Below are 16,324 nucleotides of genomic sequence, written 5' to 3' on the forward strand. Positions count from 1 at the left end.
TGTTAAATAAGATAAAATAAGTAAGGTGCCAAACATAGTTTCAGGCACATTGTAGATGCTCAACAAATGTTAACACTCTTTCTTACTAAAGGTCTTCACTTTGACATCACCAAGATTAAAATTCAAAACTAAAATCAGTGTGCACCAATTCACATCCCAAGCTATTCCTTTCCCCAAATTCCTGCTTTGGTTAAAGGTACCAAAATCCACCCGACTTCCAAACGAATAATGAAGAAATGTAAATTGTCCTGGGCTCTGCTTTCTCTCACACTGCCCCTACATGCCCCTCCAGGCTTGACAGGGTCTACCTCCTAATGATTTCTCAAAGCCATCCTCTCCTCCTCACCCCTCGTGCTACTGTCTGATGCCAGGCTCTCACCCTTCTCTCCAGCATCTTCCCAGGACTTGATCTCTGTATCTCTTCCCTTGAAGGCTAGCCAGTCCAGTCTCTTCCCTGCAGCCAGGATGATCTTTCAAAATAGTAAATTTGACCATGCTTTTCCTCTTACTGTAATTCTCCAGTGACTCCCCACTATTGTCAAAATAACAATTGCTTAGCATAACAAACAGGAGCTCCTTCATGAGCTGGTCCAATAACCTCTCTGTGCATCTTTCCTACATCCCGCTTCTCACAGCAGCCACTTCAAACACCAGGCAGCTCCCTCAGCACTCTGGAGCCTTAGAGGTCTTGAGTTGTTTTCATGCAGAATCTTCCCCTGTCCTATTCTCTGCTTCTTGAAGGGTTACTGAGCTTTAAGACTCTGTAAATAGTATCCCTCTATGAAGTCTTCTCTGAAACTCTGGGACAGAATTAATTGCCTCCCCCTCTAGACTCCTACACATCTTGTTCAAATTCTGTTTTTGCTCTGTACTCACCACACCATTCTGACTTGTTGATATGGCCATCTCCTGCACCAAGCAGCAGGGCTGGGATCGAGGCTCGAAGACATACTTCTCTGAAAATACTTATTGAGTATATTATTAAGAGTGTGTAGTGCTGGGTCATATTCCTAGGCACTGAGGATTCAGCAAACAGCAACACAGATAAAAGGTCTGCCCTCAAGTTGCTTCCATTCTAGACAGAAGGTATGATTATAATCATGATAATCATGGTTATTATGGACATTGCCGATAATAGCTAACACCTTAATAGTACTTAAGTGTCAGGCAGACACTGTACTGAAGTTTTACACAAATAAACTCATTTGATCCTATAAGGTAAGTAGGTTTGTTATTTTATAGACGCTGAGTTGAAAGCCCAGAGAGGCTAAGTAACTTGCCCAAGACCACACAGCTAGTAACTAGGGGAGCTGGCATTCTAATCAAGTTTAGACCCCGAGTCCACATTCTTTATTACTATGGTATCCAGAAAAATAACAATATAAACAAATAAATAATTTCAAGTGCTGATAATGAAGAAGATAAAATAGAGTATTGTCAGACAGAGTGACTGAGGCATCGGTCAGGGAAAGTCTCTTAGAGAAAGTAACATTCAAATTGAGGTGTAATTTGTCAATTGAGAAAAGTAGAAATTCTAGAGTTGGATCTGGGAATCTAAAGAGGAGAAAAATTGTTTCTTCTATGTAACCAAGACACTAGCTGCTGTGATGTTCACTTGTCACTGCTGGAGGTACCACACTCAAGCCTGGGTGGCCTTGGGGTACAGCAAATAGCCCAAATGTTCCCAAACCTATCCCCTATCAATCTATTTGTCCCTCCTGTTCTTTTGGGTTAAGACATATCTCAGAAGGTGTCCAGTATGCTGCATCCTACAAGGGTAGGAAGCATGGCACACACACACTCTTTCTCTCACACACACACTCTTTCTCTCACACACACACACCTGTTTTGCTGAACCACTTTATTTCACTTCTCTCCTGTGAACAACGTGTCACTCAGAACCTTAGCAAAGTGACAGACAGAGGCATAGCAAAAGGGCTGGGGACAACCCAGAGGCATGAGTAAAAGGGGAAAAGAAAATTATTTTTTAACAAGATGAGAAGTGAATTGGACTGGAGGGAGAAATGGGAATTTGATCAAGGAGGGGTATGCAGAGGGGGTTGATTCTGAGATGCTGGCAGTGTTCTGTTTCTTGACCCGAGGGCAAGTTTGCTCTACAATTTTATGTATATACACACACATCTATACACACATATGTACGTATGTATTCACACACACGCACACCCCGTATATACACATGCATGCATCTATACCTTCTGAATGAATATCTCTTATAATAAAAGGTTAAAGAAATGATTTGGCGAGCAGATGAAATGGGTGGGACAAGTTCATACATATTTAATATACTCCCAATGCCTATTTTATGATAAAAATTGTACTAGGTTCATTTTTACTTATATTATCTCATTTAATTTTTATTACAACCTTATGAAGTAAGTGTCATTCCTGTTTTGCATATGGAAACTGAGGAAGGCAAAGCATAGAGGAGCAACCAACATTCAGACTCTGGGCTCTTGCCCCTGCACCATGCCCTCTGCCTTCCACCCTGGGTGGCTCTGAGGTTCAATGGGGTGGGTGACTTTTGGGTAAGACAAACCTGGGCATCAATCTGGTCATAGTCACTTACCCACTGTGTGACCTCTGCTATGTGTGGCTTGTATCAGCCTCAGTACCCCCACCTAGTAAAATGGATATTACACCTTATGTTGCACAAAAATTGTAAAGATTAAAGACAATGATTGACAAATAGCAGAGTTGAGCATCCTTAAGCCTGGAGGAAAAGGTTTCCCTGAATTATACAAGGACATATTCACAGTGGTTTTCATCTCTCAAAAAAGCAGTGGAAGACTTTCATCAATAAACCCTTACCTAAAACCCCAATATATAAAGCAGATAAAAGGGGAGCTCTCTCGTTGGAGCAGGCCTAGGGGGTCTGGAGCTCCGCCACCTGTTTCTTCTCTTTCCTCACCCACAAGTGTTCCCTAGGGCAACTCCTTGGAACCTAAAAGTATTCAAAACACATTGAAGACCACTGCAGAAGTTCTTTAAAAAGCAAAACTTGTGATTCATTTAAAATCACAGGTGATATATTAAAATTGATTTTAAAATATAAGACTTTCACTCACCCAGACACATCTGCGAAGTTCTGTGAGACTAGGACCAATCATTGTTGTTCTCCCTCGTTCTCAGTAATTGAAAATGCAAGGAGTTCAATGTCTATGAATGAGCGCCTGCTGTGTGCCAGGCACTATACTAGATGCTGAGAGTATGCACTGTAAGATCTCTTTCAAGTCTAACAACTCTCTATGAAGTAGATACTATTATTCTCGTTTTGAAGATGAAAAAATAAAATGGGTACAGAGAGGTTAAGTCAATTACCCAAGATCTCACATCTAGTGAATAGTGGAGTTGGGATTCAAACAAGTGTTGCAGGATGAATTAGAAAGCCAGAATTTTGCCATTAACTCCTGCAGCCTCTTCAACAGTGGACTGGGAGGAACAAGTGCCTTGCTCAAAGTTTCGTGCTTTTTCCCAATACTCCTCAGTTGTGATTTTTTTTCTTCTGTTTTCATTAGGGTACCCAGGTCTCCCAGAACGAAGGCAGCGGTCCTCCCTCGCGGGGAGCCCCAGCTCAGGGAGGGCAGAACATCAGGCCCAGCGGCAGCGGGTAGCTGGTGACTGGGGCCTGCCTGTCCCTCACTCCGGTTCATGCCCCATCCCCACCACGAGGCTGCCGGGCTGAGAGCGCGGAGACTCCTGCTAGGCTGTAGTCTGGCAGGCCGGGGGACTGGGTTTACTGGAAGAGTGTGAGGTGGGGATGCAGAGGGAGGTCCTTGAAATCCCCTTGAGACATAGAAATAACTAAGCACGCAGTGAGGACTGTGGGGGCAGCTAATGTCTGCCACCCCCTCACTCGGTGTTCAGCCATTTATCATCAATACGTCGTTAGGCAGGAGCAGGGGCAGGTGGCTGACGGGTGTGCCGGCGGCTGGCGGGGTCTTGGGAGGCGCCCTGCACACGCCTCTTCTTTCTGAAATCTCCGACCTTTCGGATTTGAGCCGCGAGGGACCGCGGAGCAAGGGCAGCCTCCTCCGGAAGCCTCGGGTCACTAGAGACCCCTAGAGGCGAAAAGCTGTGTTACAAGCCCCCGGCCGCAGAGGCGCAGGCGGGATTCTTGCCCCGGAGGTTGCCGAGGAGTGGCCGGTACCTTTCCTAAAACCCTTATCTGTAAGTACACTCCGGCAAGCTCGAAAGGGACAGCAGGGGAGCCATGTGTGCGTGCGCGTGTGCGGAGAAGGAATGGGGAGGGACAGTTGCATTTGCAGAAGCAATCCTGTCTGGAACTAAGCTGATTAGTCCTGGTGCCGTCCCTCCCTCCCTGCCCCACCCCTCCCATCCTCCCTGCCCCACCCCTCCCATCCTCCCTTAGCTCCCTCACTCAGCCTCACTCAGCCCCTGCAGCAATCCAGAGACTGCCCTCTTTGGCAACTCCCCACCACCTCCATCAAGATAATATCCTTCCCTCAGGGCCCTTCACACCTCTCAGTAACCTGATCAACTAATTTGTGTTAAGGTATTAATGACTAATAATGATTTAATGTGCTGCCCTCCCAATTAACACTAGAACATTTCAAAAGAGAAATTCACAGATTTTAACCCAAGTGAGACATGGTGCTTTTCCTTGTTGAGAGGAATTGTAGGCCCTTCAAAACGAACCATACAGACAGCTGCTGATTCTTTACATACGCTGCATCACTCCTGAGCTTAGCAATGTTTGGAGGCTTTATGCAAAGGCTCAAGCAGAATTTCCCAAAGAGGGCTGCTCTGAGCTACAACCCTTAAAGAACGCACCAGTACAGGCTTAATGAAGAAAAGAAACCTGGTGCCGCAATATCATGTCTTTAGAAGTTTCGATGGTTTTTTTTTGCTCTCGTATGTGACGACATGGTCATTGAGAGAAGAGGCTCAGGCATGGTGAACTTGGGTTCAAGTCTTTGGCAGGCTCTGCTACGTACCATGTATTTGATCTTGCCAAGTTACTTTACTACATTAGCCTCAGGATGCACATCTGTGAAATGGATGTGGTACAACTCACAGGGTTAGAGTATGAAATGAAATAATGCAGAATTAGTACTCATCAAGTCTGATATGTAGAATGCTCCATAAATGACAGTTCTTTTTCTTAAACTTAGGGGTTTTGTTGTTGTTGTTGTTGTTTTTCTTTTTTTTTCTTTTCTTTTTTTTCTTTTTTTGCCCTGTCTCAAACTCTCAGTGCAGGGCAGCATGCAAATGCTGTATTTATTTATTATTTAAAAGCAGGATGAAGCAATCCAGCCTCCTAGGCATGGTTGGTTTGGTAATGAACTAGATTTCTTTCCAGGTGATGGCAGTGTGTGAGCTTTTTTTTTTTTTTTTTTTTTTTTTCTTTTTCTGCTTCGTTTCTTTAGATGTATCTCACAAATGCAGTGAGCAAAATGGATTTGGCAGTGACTTAAAAAGACTTCATGTATTTTGGAAAGAAAAAAAAAAGCCACAACAAAAACTGGTTTGTTTTTGTGATATATGGTTCATGTGATATGACAAAAATCCATTTTTATGCTTAGGAAAATTGGCTAATTTTAAAACAGTTGACACATGCCATATGCATATAGAGTAATGATGGATTTTGCTCAGGCAAACAACAGAAGAACACAGGGCCAGCAATATCTTTGTTAGGGCTTTAGTTGCTTAAATTCTTATTTGATGGGCAGATCTGCCCCACGTAGGAGAGGAGAGTGACAGGAAAAATGGACTCATCATGGCCTCAGGTAATGGAGTCAGATATTTGATCATAAAGATACTAAGCTTAGGACACAGACACTGTGTTTTCATTAAATCAGTGAGAAGAGACTTGGGAATGTACCAATGTAGCAAGCTTATATTCAAGAAAGTAAACAGTTTATGAAGATATTTTCTGGATAAAAGGTGTGGATGGTGCAAAGGATACTGACGTGGTGAACCATCATATTAAACTTACCCTGGTCATTCTTCCTGTTGGAGACATGAATGATTTTTGAACTTCAAATACTGTTTATAATGTGCTTTGGGTTCCTCTGGTTTACAGTTCTGCATAAATCACACTGAAAAGGGAATCCCACATGTTTTCCATTACTGCTAGATAGGGAAAAGAGACTGCATATGAAAGTAAGATGCTACAAAGATGGGACATTCAATGAGAAATAATTATGAAAACTTTTTTAAAGAGAGAGATAAGTGCTCTATTATCTTGATTTCCTTCCACTTTCAGTTCCCCATACACATCGACCAGATACCCAGCTCCTTATAGGCCGATGGTATGCAATCTACTTGACTCATAAAAGCATTTGGCTTTTATTTTACTTTATTTCTTTCAAGGCAAGATTTAATTAGTGACTGCAGAGAAAAAAAGCTGAACAGCTTAGAGGAGGTTTATGGTTAGGTTTGTAGGACTCAGCAATTTGACATTCTAATCCTGTCATTTCTCACCTTAAACTGAACAGAGTCAGCAGGGTTTTTTCCCCATAATTCATCCAGTTATTAGGTCTCCCCTCCCCTTACTTTTCACCCTCATCCTTTGTTTCATCTAACTTTTTGTGTATGCAGTCCTCTACTACATGGTTCTCCCCAACCCCACCCCAACTCTCAGGATAGCAACAAACAAACAAACAAAACTGATATCTTGGTGGCTCATTCATGACTGAGCCATCTAGAAGATAAATTCTTTCTCTCCCTACTTTAATTCCTAGAATGTGCCATCTATCTCTCATGTGAACTTGACTTCTAAGATGACTGCAGCCAAGGTCCTACAATGATGCGAAGAGGCCAAGTAGTATGTCTACTTCCCTTTTTAATTATAAACTATAAACATTTTGAAGGTAGAGCCTGAGTCTTTTTTTTTTTTAATCATTTTTTTCCCCAGATCCCTGGCTCAATACTGAGCACAGGGAAGACTTTTATGTTTATGCAGTTAAAAATAAAATAACAAAAACCCCAATACCTCATCGTCTACCCCACCACACCCATTTCCATTAAAATATGGGTTACTAGAAAGTTAACAAGAATCTTTCCTATTAAGAATATTTAGTGTTCAGGATTTCAAATGTATATGTTACAAAATTAGGGATGTGTTTCCTTTAAGGCAGTGGTTCTCAAAATGCAATGTGCACCTGGGGAGCTTATTAAAATGCAGAATCCCCAGCCCCTCCTCCAGAGAATCTGATTCTGTAGGTCTTGCATGAGATTCAGAAAACTGAATTTTAACAAGCAGATGATATACAGACCGCATTTTGAGAAATACCATTTTAAGGCAATCCAAATGAAATGTTACCCATACTCGGTTTGGTAGAATATTAACGTCGCCTAAGTGGTTAATGGTTGTCATGTTGGAAAAAAAAAAAGGTTCTGCGATTAGAAAAGTTGGAGAACGTGCCCTCCTTTCCACCCATCCCCTCATAGGCACTCGGAGGTTCACAATGCACTTATCACATTAGACCGGTCTGGAAAGGTCTACAATAAAGAAACATGTTTTATCTTTGTTTAGCCAAGTATTTCCAATATATCTTGACCTTGAAACTTTTTTTGATCTTATTACCAAACACCTATTAAATATGTGTTTAAATAAATTTTCTATGGAAAGTACTGCCGTAAGGGAGAAGGAACCACCTACAGGAGGAGGGTGATATTGCAGCCCAGCCATATTATCCCTATTAAATTTCCAAAGGAGAGAATGAACAAAGTGCATGCGGAGTTAGGGGAAAATCACTAACCATGTGGGATATCTTACAGCCTGGAGAAGTATTTATAAACAAACGTAATCATTCTTTATTGAGCATTTAATATTTATCAGGCACTAGTCTATGTTTTTAATATGTATTAACTCATTTAATTCTCAGAACAATCCTATAAGTCAGACACTTGTATTATTCCCATTTTACTGAAGAGGAAACTGAGACACTGAAAGGCTCATAATTCCCTAGAGATTACAAAGGTAGGAAGTGACACAGTGGAATTTGAACCCAAGCAGTGTGCCTTGAGAGCCTACCCTGTTCACAGCTCTATCAGACAGCCTCTCCTCTAGTAGCAGTGTTCTGGAAATTACTGCCAGTGAGGAATGAGCTCCCATCAGACATAACCTGTTCAGGAGCTATGCTGTCCCAATGCCGCAGGATACTCCTTTATACATGAAGGCCTGTGATCATTGCCCTTTATTCATCAGATAATTTATTATAATGACTGCCTGAACCTCTGAAAGATTTTGCTGTACTTAAACACAAAATATGCTTAGCAAAACAACCTGACAAGGATGATTCATGGATAGCAATTAAGTGCAGAATCCTGTGCCTACCAAATCCTAAATTGGGTTGAAGATCTGGCCATCCCGCTGACAACTTGATATGGAATACAGTAGGCTGGCCCTTGTCAGTCCACCCCACTCTCAACCCTCTCATTGCTCCTGGGCATGGGAGGTATCCCTGAAGGGGCAAGCTCTATGGATGACACAATTCCAATTCCAATTTTGGCCTCTGGCAAGTTGCTTCACTTCTATGGCCCTGAGTTTCCTAATCATAATACAAAAAAGAAAAAAAGGAGGATAGACTAATGATAACTGTTAGGTTAGTGCAAAAGTAATTGCAATTTTTTGCTACTGAAAGTAACGGCAAAAACTGCAATTACTTTTGCACCAACCTAAAACGTTGTAAGCCATATATATACATATGGTTTATTCCAATGTTTGCCACAGGAGCAGTGTTTGGTCTCTTGTGCTCTTAGGTCCTGAGGGTGAGATCGCTCCTTGTCTGTGCCTTCAAAGATACTTATGTAGAGGTAATGGAGGTCAAAGTTAGGACCCTGGGAAGTGAGAGGGAATTGAGGAAGAAAACTCTTGGCTTCCAGATCCTGGATCTCTTCCAAAATGCATGTGGGATTTGGGTCACTGGGCCTTATAATACAACCAGGATTCCTGGTTACTTTAATTTTCTCCTTTGTAAAAATATGAATAATGCTAGTTGTAGGCGTATCCCACTGGGAACTTTGCATCTTGTTCATTAACAAATGCTTAAGAAGTATCACATCACACTAAGCAGGCATTTCTCAAAGAGCCAACACATTCCAGGCATCATTTTAGACACTCCACAAATGTGAACTAAACAATATGCGCCTTTTAATGGCAATTTAGGCAAGTTAGTTCTTGGCCTGAGGTTACACAAGTGGGAGAGGCAAAGTCCAAACCTAAGTCAGATCTGTCTGACCCAAACTGCCAATTTTTCCTCTCAACCACTTAGAAAAGGTATGAGGAGGGGAAGTGACAGGAGGGACAAATGAGGTCTGGCTCTCCAGTGACGGAGTTTTAGAAAGAACCATTTCAAAACCTATCAAGATCTTTGGAAAATCAGCCTTCCCAGTGCCTTTTCCCCTTCTACCCCAAATTTTGTGGCTTCTCTAACTCAACTGTTTCCTGCCCTAGCATATTGTGCCCCCCTAACCCTCACCCTGCCACACCTAACAGAAAATGCTTACGGCACATCCAGGCTGGCTGGCCTATCATCAGTCACCAGTTCCAGAAGCCCAGATTGAACTATCTGGTCTTGGTCCTTGGTCTTCATCCTTGGCTACTTTATGAACTTGTTGCTCTAGACCCAGACCTTTTGGCAATGATGAAGAAGAGCACAAGTTTTTTTCTTCCCAAACTAAGCACATTCACTTACCAAAATGGGTCCTTCTTATGCCATTTTCCTTTGGATCAGACCTCACACATCCTGTGCACAGGGTCAGGCATGGAGTGAGGATGGAGCCTTGCAGCTTCTGGGGCTTCATATGAAGCCTGGAGGATCAGCTTGCAAGGAGGAAGAGAAGGTGGAGTTTAGCCAAAGCAGGCCTCATGAAGGCCGCTCAACCACTCATGTATGTCGGTATGTCGACTTCCGCTCTTGTTCTGCTCTTGAACAGTGAATGTTGTATTCCACTTATTTAATGATATAGCAAGTAGTTAGGACTATGAGCTCTCAAAACCAGGTAGGCCATGGATTTATCATTTGTTGTTTGAAGCTAAGTGATAGGTATAGAGGAGTTAACCATATGATTTTTTTCTATTTTTGTATATGTTTGGAAATGTTCTGTAATTTAAAAGATTAAAAAATAATCCATGGATTCTGGAGTGAGAGAGTCTTGATCTAAAATTCCAGCACACCTGTTCTCTTGCTGTGTTACCTAGGGCCAAAGATTTAAATTTTCTGAGCCTCTATTTTCTTATCAATAGAGATAATATCTATCTCAAAGTATTATTGTGAAAATTAAATGAAATAGTGAAACAAGCTATGCACAGTGACTGGCTCATAATTGCTTGATAAATAACAACTATCATTCTTGCTGTTATTATTGTTATCTTTCTAGTTAGCATCATTTTGTGACTTCTTTACAGCAGGTACTGTAACTTACTCAGCTTCATATTTATTCCATCTAGTTCAATTTCAAGCTCATATAACAAAAATAACAAATATTTATTGAGCTCTTTCGAGGTGCCAGGCATTTTCTAGGAGCTAGGAAAGTAGCAGTAATAAAGCAGACAAAAAAATAGAACCCGTGCCCTTGTGAAGCCTATGTTTTAGTTGTGGAAGACAAGCAATAAACAACAACAAGAAAAAAAACATAATTAATGAGTTGTATTTGTTGTTAGAAGGTAATAAGTTCAATGGAAAAAAATATAGCAAAGAAAATTGGAGCCCTGGAGAAGGGTTGAAGGATTAAATGGGATGGTCAGGGTAGACCTCAAGGAAGAGGTGACATTTAAGCAAAGACTAGAAGAAGAAGTTGGGAGGATGAGCCATGTGGATAACTGGAGAATTTCCATGGAGTGGAAAATTAATACTTTTTTTCTAGTAACTGCCCCATGACACTCTTTGATATCTATTTAACTCTTATATTACTTCAGCTTCTGAGGTACACGTGTTTTTTCCCACAGTAGGCTTCTTGAGAGCTGAGAACATGTATTACACTTGACATTTATGTTCATTCACAGAGCTCCCTACTCAGTATTATGCGTAGGTTAAGAATTCAGTAATTGTTTATAGAAAAAAACCCACACCTATCTTTCCTGAGAGGTTTTTTTAAAGAAGCAGAAACTGCAGTGTATGTTTACAGTAAAACTCACCCTATTCACCCATACCTTTGTAAAACACTCATATTTTCTAAGTTTCATTAGCTTGATATTTTCAAGTTAACTCAGGACAAGGTACACACTAATAGTAGAGAAATCGGTAGCTCAAGAGGGTTCTTGGAGAGGTAAAGAAGGCCAGGCTACAGGAAGATGAGGGAGAGACACACGTAATGTCTTTAATGCAGTCATAACTATGATAAAACATTTTAAAGATCTTAATGCAATTAGGACTTATGATTATACATTGTATGATCTTAATTGAAAGCAATAGTTCAAGTTAGACTTGATTCTGAAAACTCCAAAGACCAAAAACTGTAAGTAAGGAAGCTGAAAAAAAAAAGGTACTTTGGATTTTCTTATGATGCAGTCTATAAGATTTTCTGCCATTGAGTCACTTGATAGGTGAGACTTGTTTGTCAACAAGGTCCATTTGGTAACTGAGACCTTCAGTGACCAAACCTCCCAGAATAGGGTTCAGGACAGTCCTGCCTCTGCCAAGCCCCTGTCCACAGTGAATGTTGTAGAGAGGTGACAGAATGATTCATTTGGTCGCTGCCACTCTCTTCCAGAAAAGGACCATAGCCAACGATGGCAAATTACCTCTGGGGTGGCCATTTACCCTTAGACTTGTTACAGATCCAAACAATCAGAGTACTAATCTGTTCTTCTTAACACAGACTTACCCTGTCTGGAGGTAAGACATGTTTTGATCTTTTACCTCCAGCAACTGTGTCAATATAAATACTTCTCAACTTAGAAACTAGGTAACATTGATAATTACTTTAAACAGAGGCCTCCACATTGAGATGTTTTGTCCTCATAGAGCCTGATGGAGTAAGACATTGTGCAGCTGCCACTCTCCAGAGAGACTGTCACTAAAGCAGGTTGTCTATCTCCTGTCTCCTAAGGCAACCTTATGAATAAACCATCTTAACGTTAAGTCATGTGCATAAATAATTTAAAATTGGCTTGCAAGCAAAAAGGAAAGGGGTGTATGTGGGACACTGATCACATCATCAGTGTGCTCTCAGCCAAGACTGAGGAGGGTCCATGGAGCTTGGTAACAGGTGGTGAATCTGTAAGTTTCAACTGAACGGAAATTCCCTTACATCTCATTGTCCTCCTTTCTGGAACTCAGTTAACAATGGACAGGGCCTGATAAAATTCAAGCTTCCTCAGAATACCCTCATCTTTTCTTTTCTGCTAGGCTGACTCCAGACTAGAATGATAGGCACGTTGCCTTCAGAAGTAAATATGAGTCCCTAACTCATACGGGGCAACCCTCCATAAGTCTCTCCAGACTTTCAGCGGAAAGGCTGCAAAAACTCTATGGAGAGGAACTTGCTCCTCTTGTTTCTGAACCTGTCTCTCTCCTCACTCACTTTTCCTCACTAGGCTGGAGTTATGTGGCATTTAAAACATGTCCTTTCAAGACTATTTACCCATCTGTCCCCTAGAGCAGTCCCTATCCCTCAATCTTTCTCTCTTCCACATATATTTCAAGTTTAGCTCTTTCTGCTTATGTCGCACTTCTCTGCAATCTCTTTCTCTTGTTCTTTGTCAGCCAGCAAAAATCTCCTTCTTCCCTTCTCCAAAACAGCCCACATACCATCTGTTGAGGTTGGCAGTCTCCCGTTCTCTCCTCTCCTTGTTCCCCTGGTGGGAGTAAGTAAAGGGGGAGTTAGATCCCTCTTTGGAGCAGCTATAGGCAAACTGGACCCTGCTGATAGTTCTTCACTAATGGACCTTAGTTTCACAGGACAGGAAGTGAGCATTGGGTCCCAGTCTGTCTGCTTTGATTCAGGCAAAGTGATACACAGTTGGGTATGGTTAAGACAACAGACTCCAGGGTCAGATTGCCTGGTTTCAGTTCTGGGCTTCATTAGTTGTGTGATCGTGGGTGAGTCATATTAACAGATCTAAGCCTCTTCATTTAGAAAATGCAGATGATCTTTGTGTATCTTCCTCATAGGGTTATGGTGAGGACTAATAATACAATTTAGGGTTTATCACAGTTGCCTGGTCTATAAATGTGAGTCCTTATTATTACATCATCCTTAACCAATAGCATAAAGCCCAATATTTCCCTCAATAGTCAAGAGAAATACCCCAACACATTCATATTGCAAAGGGCCCTGGCTGTGTCATCAACTCTCCAGAGAGCGTTGTCCTTCCAGGAAGTATGATGTCTTTATTAGCTTCTCAACTGCAGAGCACTAGTTTACAAATCCAGGATCTCAATGCTAAAAAGCCCTCTCGAAACTTGTGTTCTAACTGAATAAGTGGTGATTTGCACATAGAGCATTTCTGAGGCTAAATTTCAAAGGACAGCTAAGTCTTGGTTTGGGAGTGCTTTCTAATGGCAAGCTCTGTAATCCAGTGCTCTTCCTCTGGGAAATCCATCGCTTAAGACATCTCAAGCTAAACTGAATAAAACTCTGGAGAACATGAGGATGAGGATGAGAACAAACTGTAGTAGCCCTTGGGGAAAGAGGACTTAATGGCCTGGCAGTCCCTCCCTCCCTCCTCTTTTTTCTTTCACTCTTTCGCTCTTTTTTTGTTTTGAGATGGAGTCTAGCTCTGTCACCCAGGCTGGAGTGCAATGGCAAGATCTCAGCTCACTGCAACCTCTGCTTCCTGGGATCAAGCGATTCTCCTGCCTCAGCCTCCTGAGTAGCTAGGATTACAGGTGTGTGCCACCACACCTGGCTAATTTTTTGTATCTTTAGTAGAGATGGGATTTCATCTTGTTGGCCAGGCTGGTCTCAAACTCCTGACCTTGTGATCCACCTGCCTCGGCCTCACAAAGTGCTGGGATTACAGGCGTGAGCCACCACGCCCAGCTCTGGCAGTCCCTTTCTAAATCTGGTTCATTTGATTCATGTGTCTTTCACCTCGAATGTGTGCAGAAGGGACCCAGACTGAAAACACCAATAATGTGCAGTTCTCCAACAACAAATTTTTAAGCTAGAAATTTACAATGAATCACCTTTACAAAGAGAAGATCTATTTTCTTTGTTATATAAAACATGTATTTCTTCTTGTGTTTTCTTTAATACATATCTTGATTTAACCTCAAATTAAAAATAAAAGAATACAATGAAAGACCATATTTCTTTCAAATAGGTTTAAAGGTGGCATCAATCAGTTGGAATAATGAAAATAATGGGAAACATCTTTAAGTGTGGGATTCATGTTCACAGTGGAGCGATTATTCCAATAATTGCTCTGCTATGAGCAGACATAATAGGGGTCTCCTGTAAACCTAATTTCCTCTCGTTACTTTTCATCTTTGGTGGGAATCTTCATCAATCTCCTAAAGTTAAGAGTGTTCTGATTTGAATCTCCTTTAAATGGAAAGGGTTGACTTTTTGTGGTAGAGACAAGAGACCCGGGTTTTTTAGTTGATGGCCCACTGCATATCTCATCATGTCTCTCAGTGTACCAGGTCATGCACACTTCTGCTGTAGGTGAATGGGTCTGGTAATTATCAAAGGATTAGTCTAAGAAGGAAATTATTTACAGAAATATAGGTGTGAGATTAGGGAAACCCACTGTGAAAGCTGTTTGGTTTCCAACTCTGTCTAACTTATTTTTTTCCCCTTACTACTGCCTGGATCTGTGCATACATGTTGGTTTGTGGGAGGAAATGAGCCCATCCTAGCTCTAGTCTTATTAAGAACATCACTCATCTCCCTGGTATAGATGAGTTTCAACTTTTATTACTACCAATGACCAATGGCTACACCTTAAGCTTAATTTTGGATTATTTACAGTGTGAGTGAGAAAATGAAGAAATGTAACTCTCAGAACATTTAAAACTTATTTTACCCAACCCTTTCTACAAATATCTAATTATGAGTAATGAACAAAGGCAAAATAGATCAGGTTTTATCCTGCTCTGCCAATATGCAGAAATGAATACGCAGTCAGGTAGTTGAAAACATAAAGTAGAGAAGCCAATATCTCAAATAACTAAAACACAGACTAGATTTAGGAGCTATCTAAGATTGAATAACACAAGAATAACTAAGATTTGACTGAAGTAGGAGCCAGCCTGCAAAGACCGTATGGTGAATCCATTACACTGAACATAACAACCTCACAATAGCAAACCACTACCCATGAGGGGTAGAGGAACTTCAGAGGAGGAAACCCACCTGGGTTGTGAAGCGTAAACTGCTTATGGATCCAGTTTTGTGTCTACAGGCAGTGTGGTAAAAACTGGGGCAGGTTCTTTCTTCTCCCTTTCTATCTGTTTTAATGATGAGGATCTCATTACAAACTATTTATTTCACCTACCCTACAGTCAGAAGCCACGAGCATGTGATGGGTGAAGGGAAGAATCAAAATTTCCCAATAGCACTGTCATGTTTCCAAACAGTTTTGATCAGCAATAATAAATGCCTGCATTTGAGCAATTGCAAGCTATTTCTCAGGCTGTGAGGGGGAGGGATTAGAGAGACAATTAGACAAAAATCATCTGTGTTATCTTATTGAAAGCAAATGTCTGCCTTATGTTAATGGCATTTATAGGATCTAAAGAGGTAATACTAATGGAATTATAGGGGATGTGGCCAGGAATGCCCAACAGGCACCTGTGGTAATTCAATTAGAAGAACTTTCAGGAACCATATAATTGAACGAAATTTTAGTTTCCCCCTTGTTGAGTGATTTGACAAAATTTGTACCTGTCTCTCTTAGCATGGAGAAGGAAATAAAAGAATGCCCTTTCTTGAATTTGAGCCATGCCACTAAAGCGTTCCTCAGGTAGAATTTAACAGAGAAAACCCTGCCTTGTCCCGCACATGCCCTTACTGCAGGCTGAGGTCTTTACAGCAGACACTGTTGGGGCATTTATAGACTCGTATGGTTCTGTGCTTATTTTTCCCATCACATGGTGAAACTGTGTTTAAAAAGGCTATTGGTGTTAGGAGGAGACCCAGCTATGATCTGTTTCAATCTTCTCATTTTATTCAAGAGGAAACAAAACTTCAGGGGAATAACTCATTTAGGAGACGGACTTGCTCAAGGTCACTGAAATAGTTATCAAGAAAATTGACAAGTAGAATTGGAACCCAGTTCCCATTCTTTCTAATCCATGGCCCTGAACTTTTACATAGTATTGTTGCAATGGAAATGTTGGTATTAGCCCTAAACAGACACTGACATACAAAGATGCTAATATATCTA

At 41.3% G+C, this 16,324-nt stretch overlaps 1 protein-coding gene across 2 annotated transcripts in view, besides 1 other annotated feature; it reads left to right on the forward strand.

Moving 5' to 3' along the window:
* Positions 1 to 16,324, forward strand: part of BRINP2 (BMP/retinoic acid inducible neural specific 2) — a 111,465-nt gene that overhangs the window by 6,820 nt on the left and 88,321 nt on the right. The window lies entirely within an intron of this gene.
* Positions 3,759 to 4,320: an enhancer, noted in NCBI's record as "H3K4me1 hESC enhancer chr1:177150672-177151233 (GRCh37/hg19 assembly coordinates)". NCBI's record gives its function as "activates a minimal SCP1, AML or CMV promoter by ChIP-STARR-seq in naive H9 embryonic stem cells {active_cell/tissue: H9 hESC(naive)}" and the evidence as "EXISTENCE:reporter gene assay evidence [ECO:0000049][PMID:30033119]".

The sequence above is a fragment of the Homo sapiens genome, chromosome 1 (genome assembly GCF_000001405.40).
Source record: "Homo sapiens chromosome 1, GRCh38.p14 Primary Assembly".
Lineage (NCBI taxonomy): Eukaryota > Metazoa > Chordata > Mammalia > Primates > Hominidae > Homo > Homo sapiens.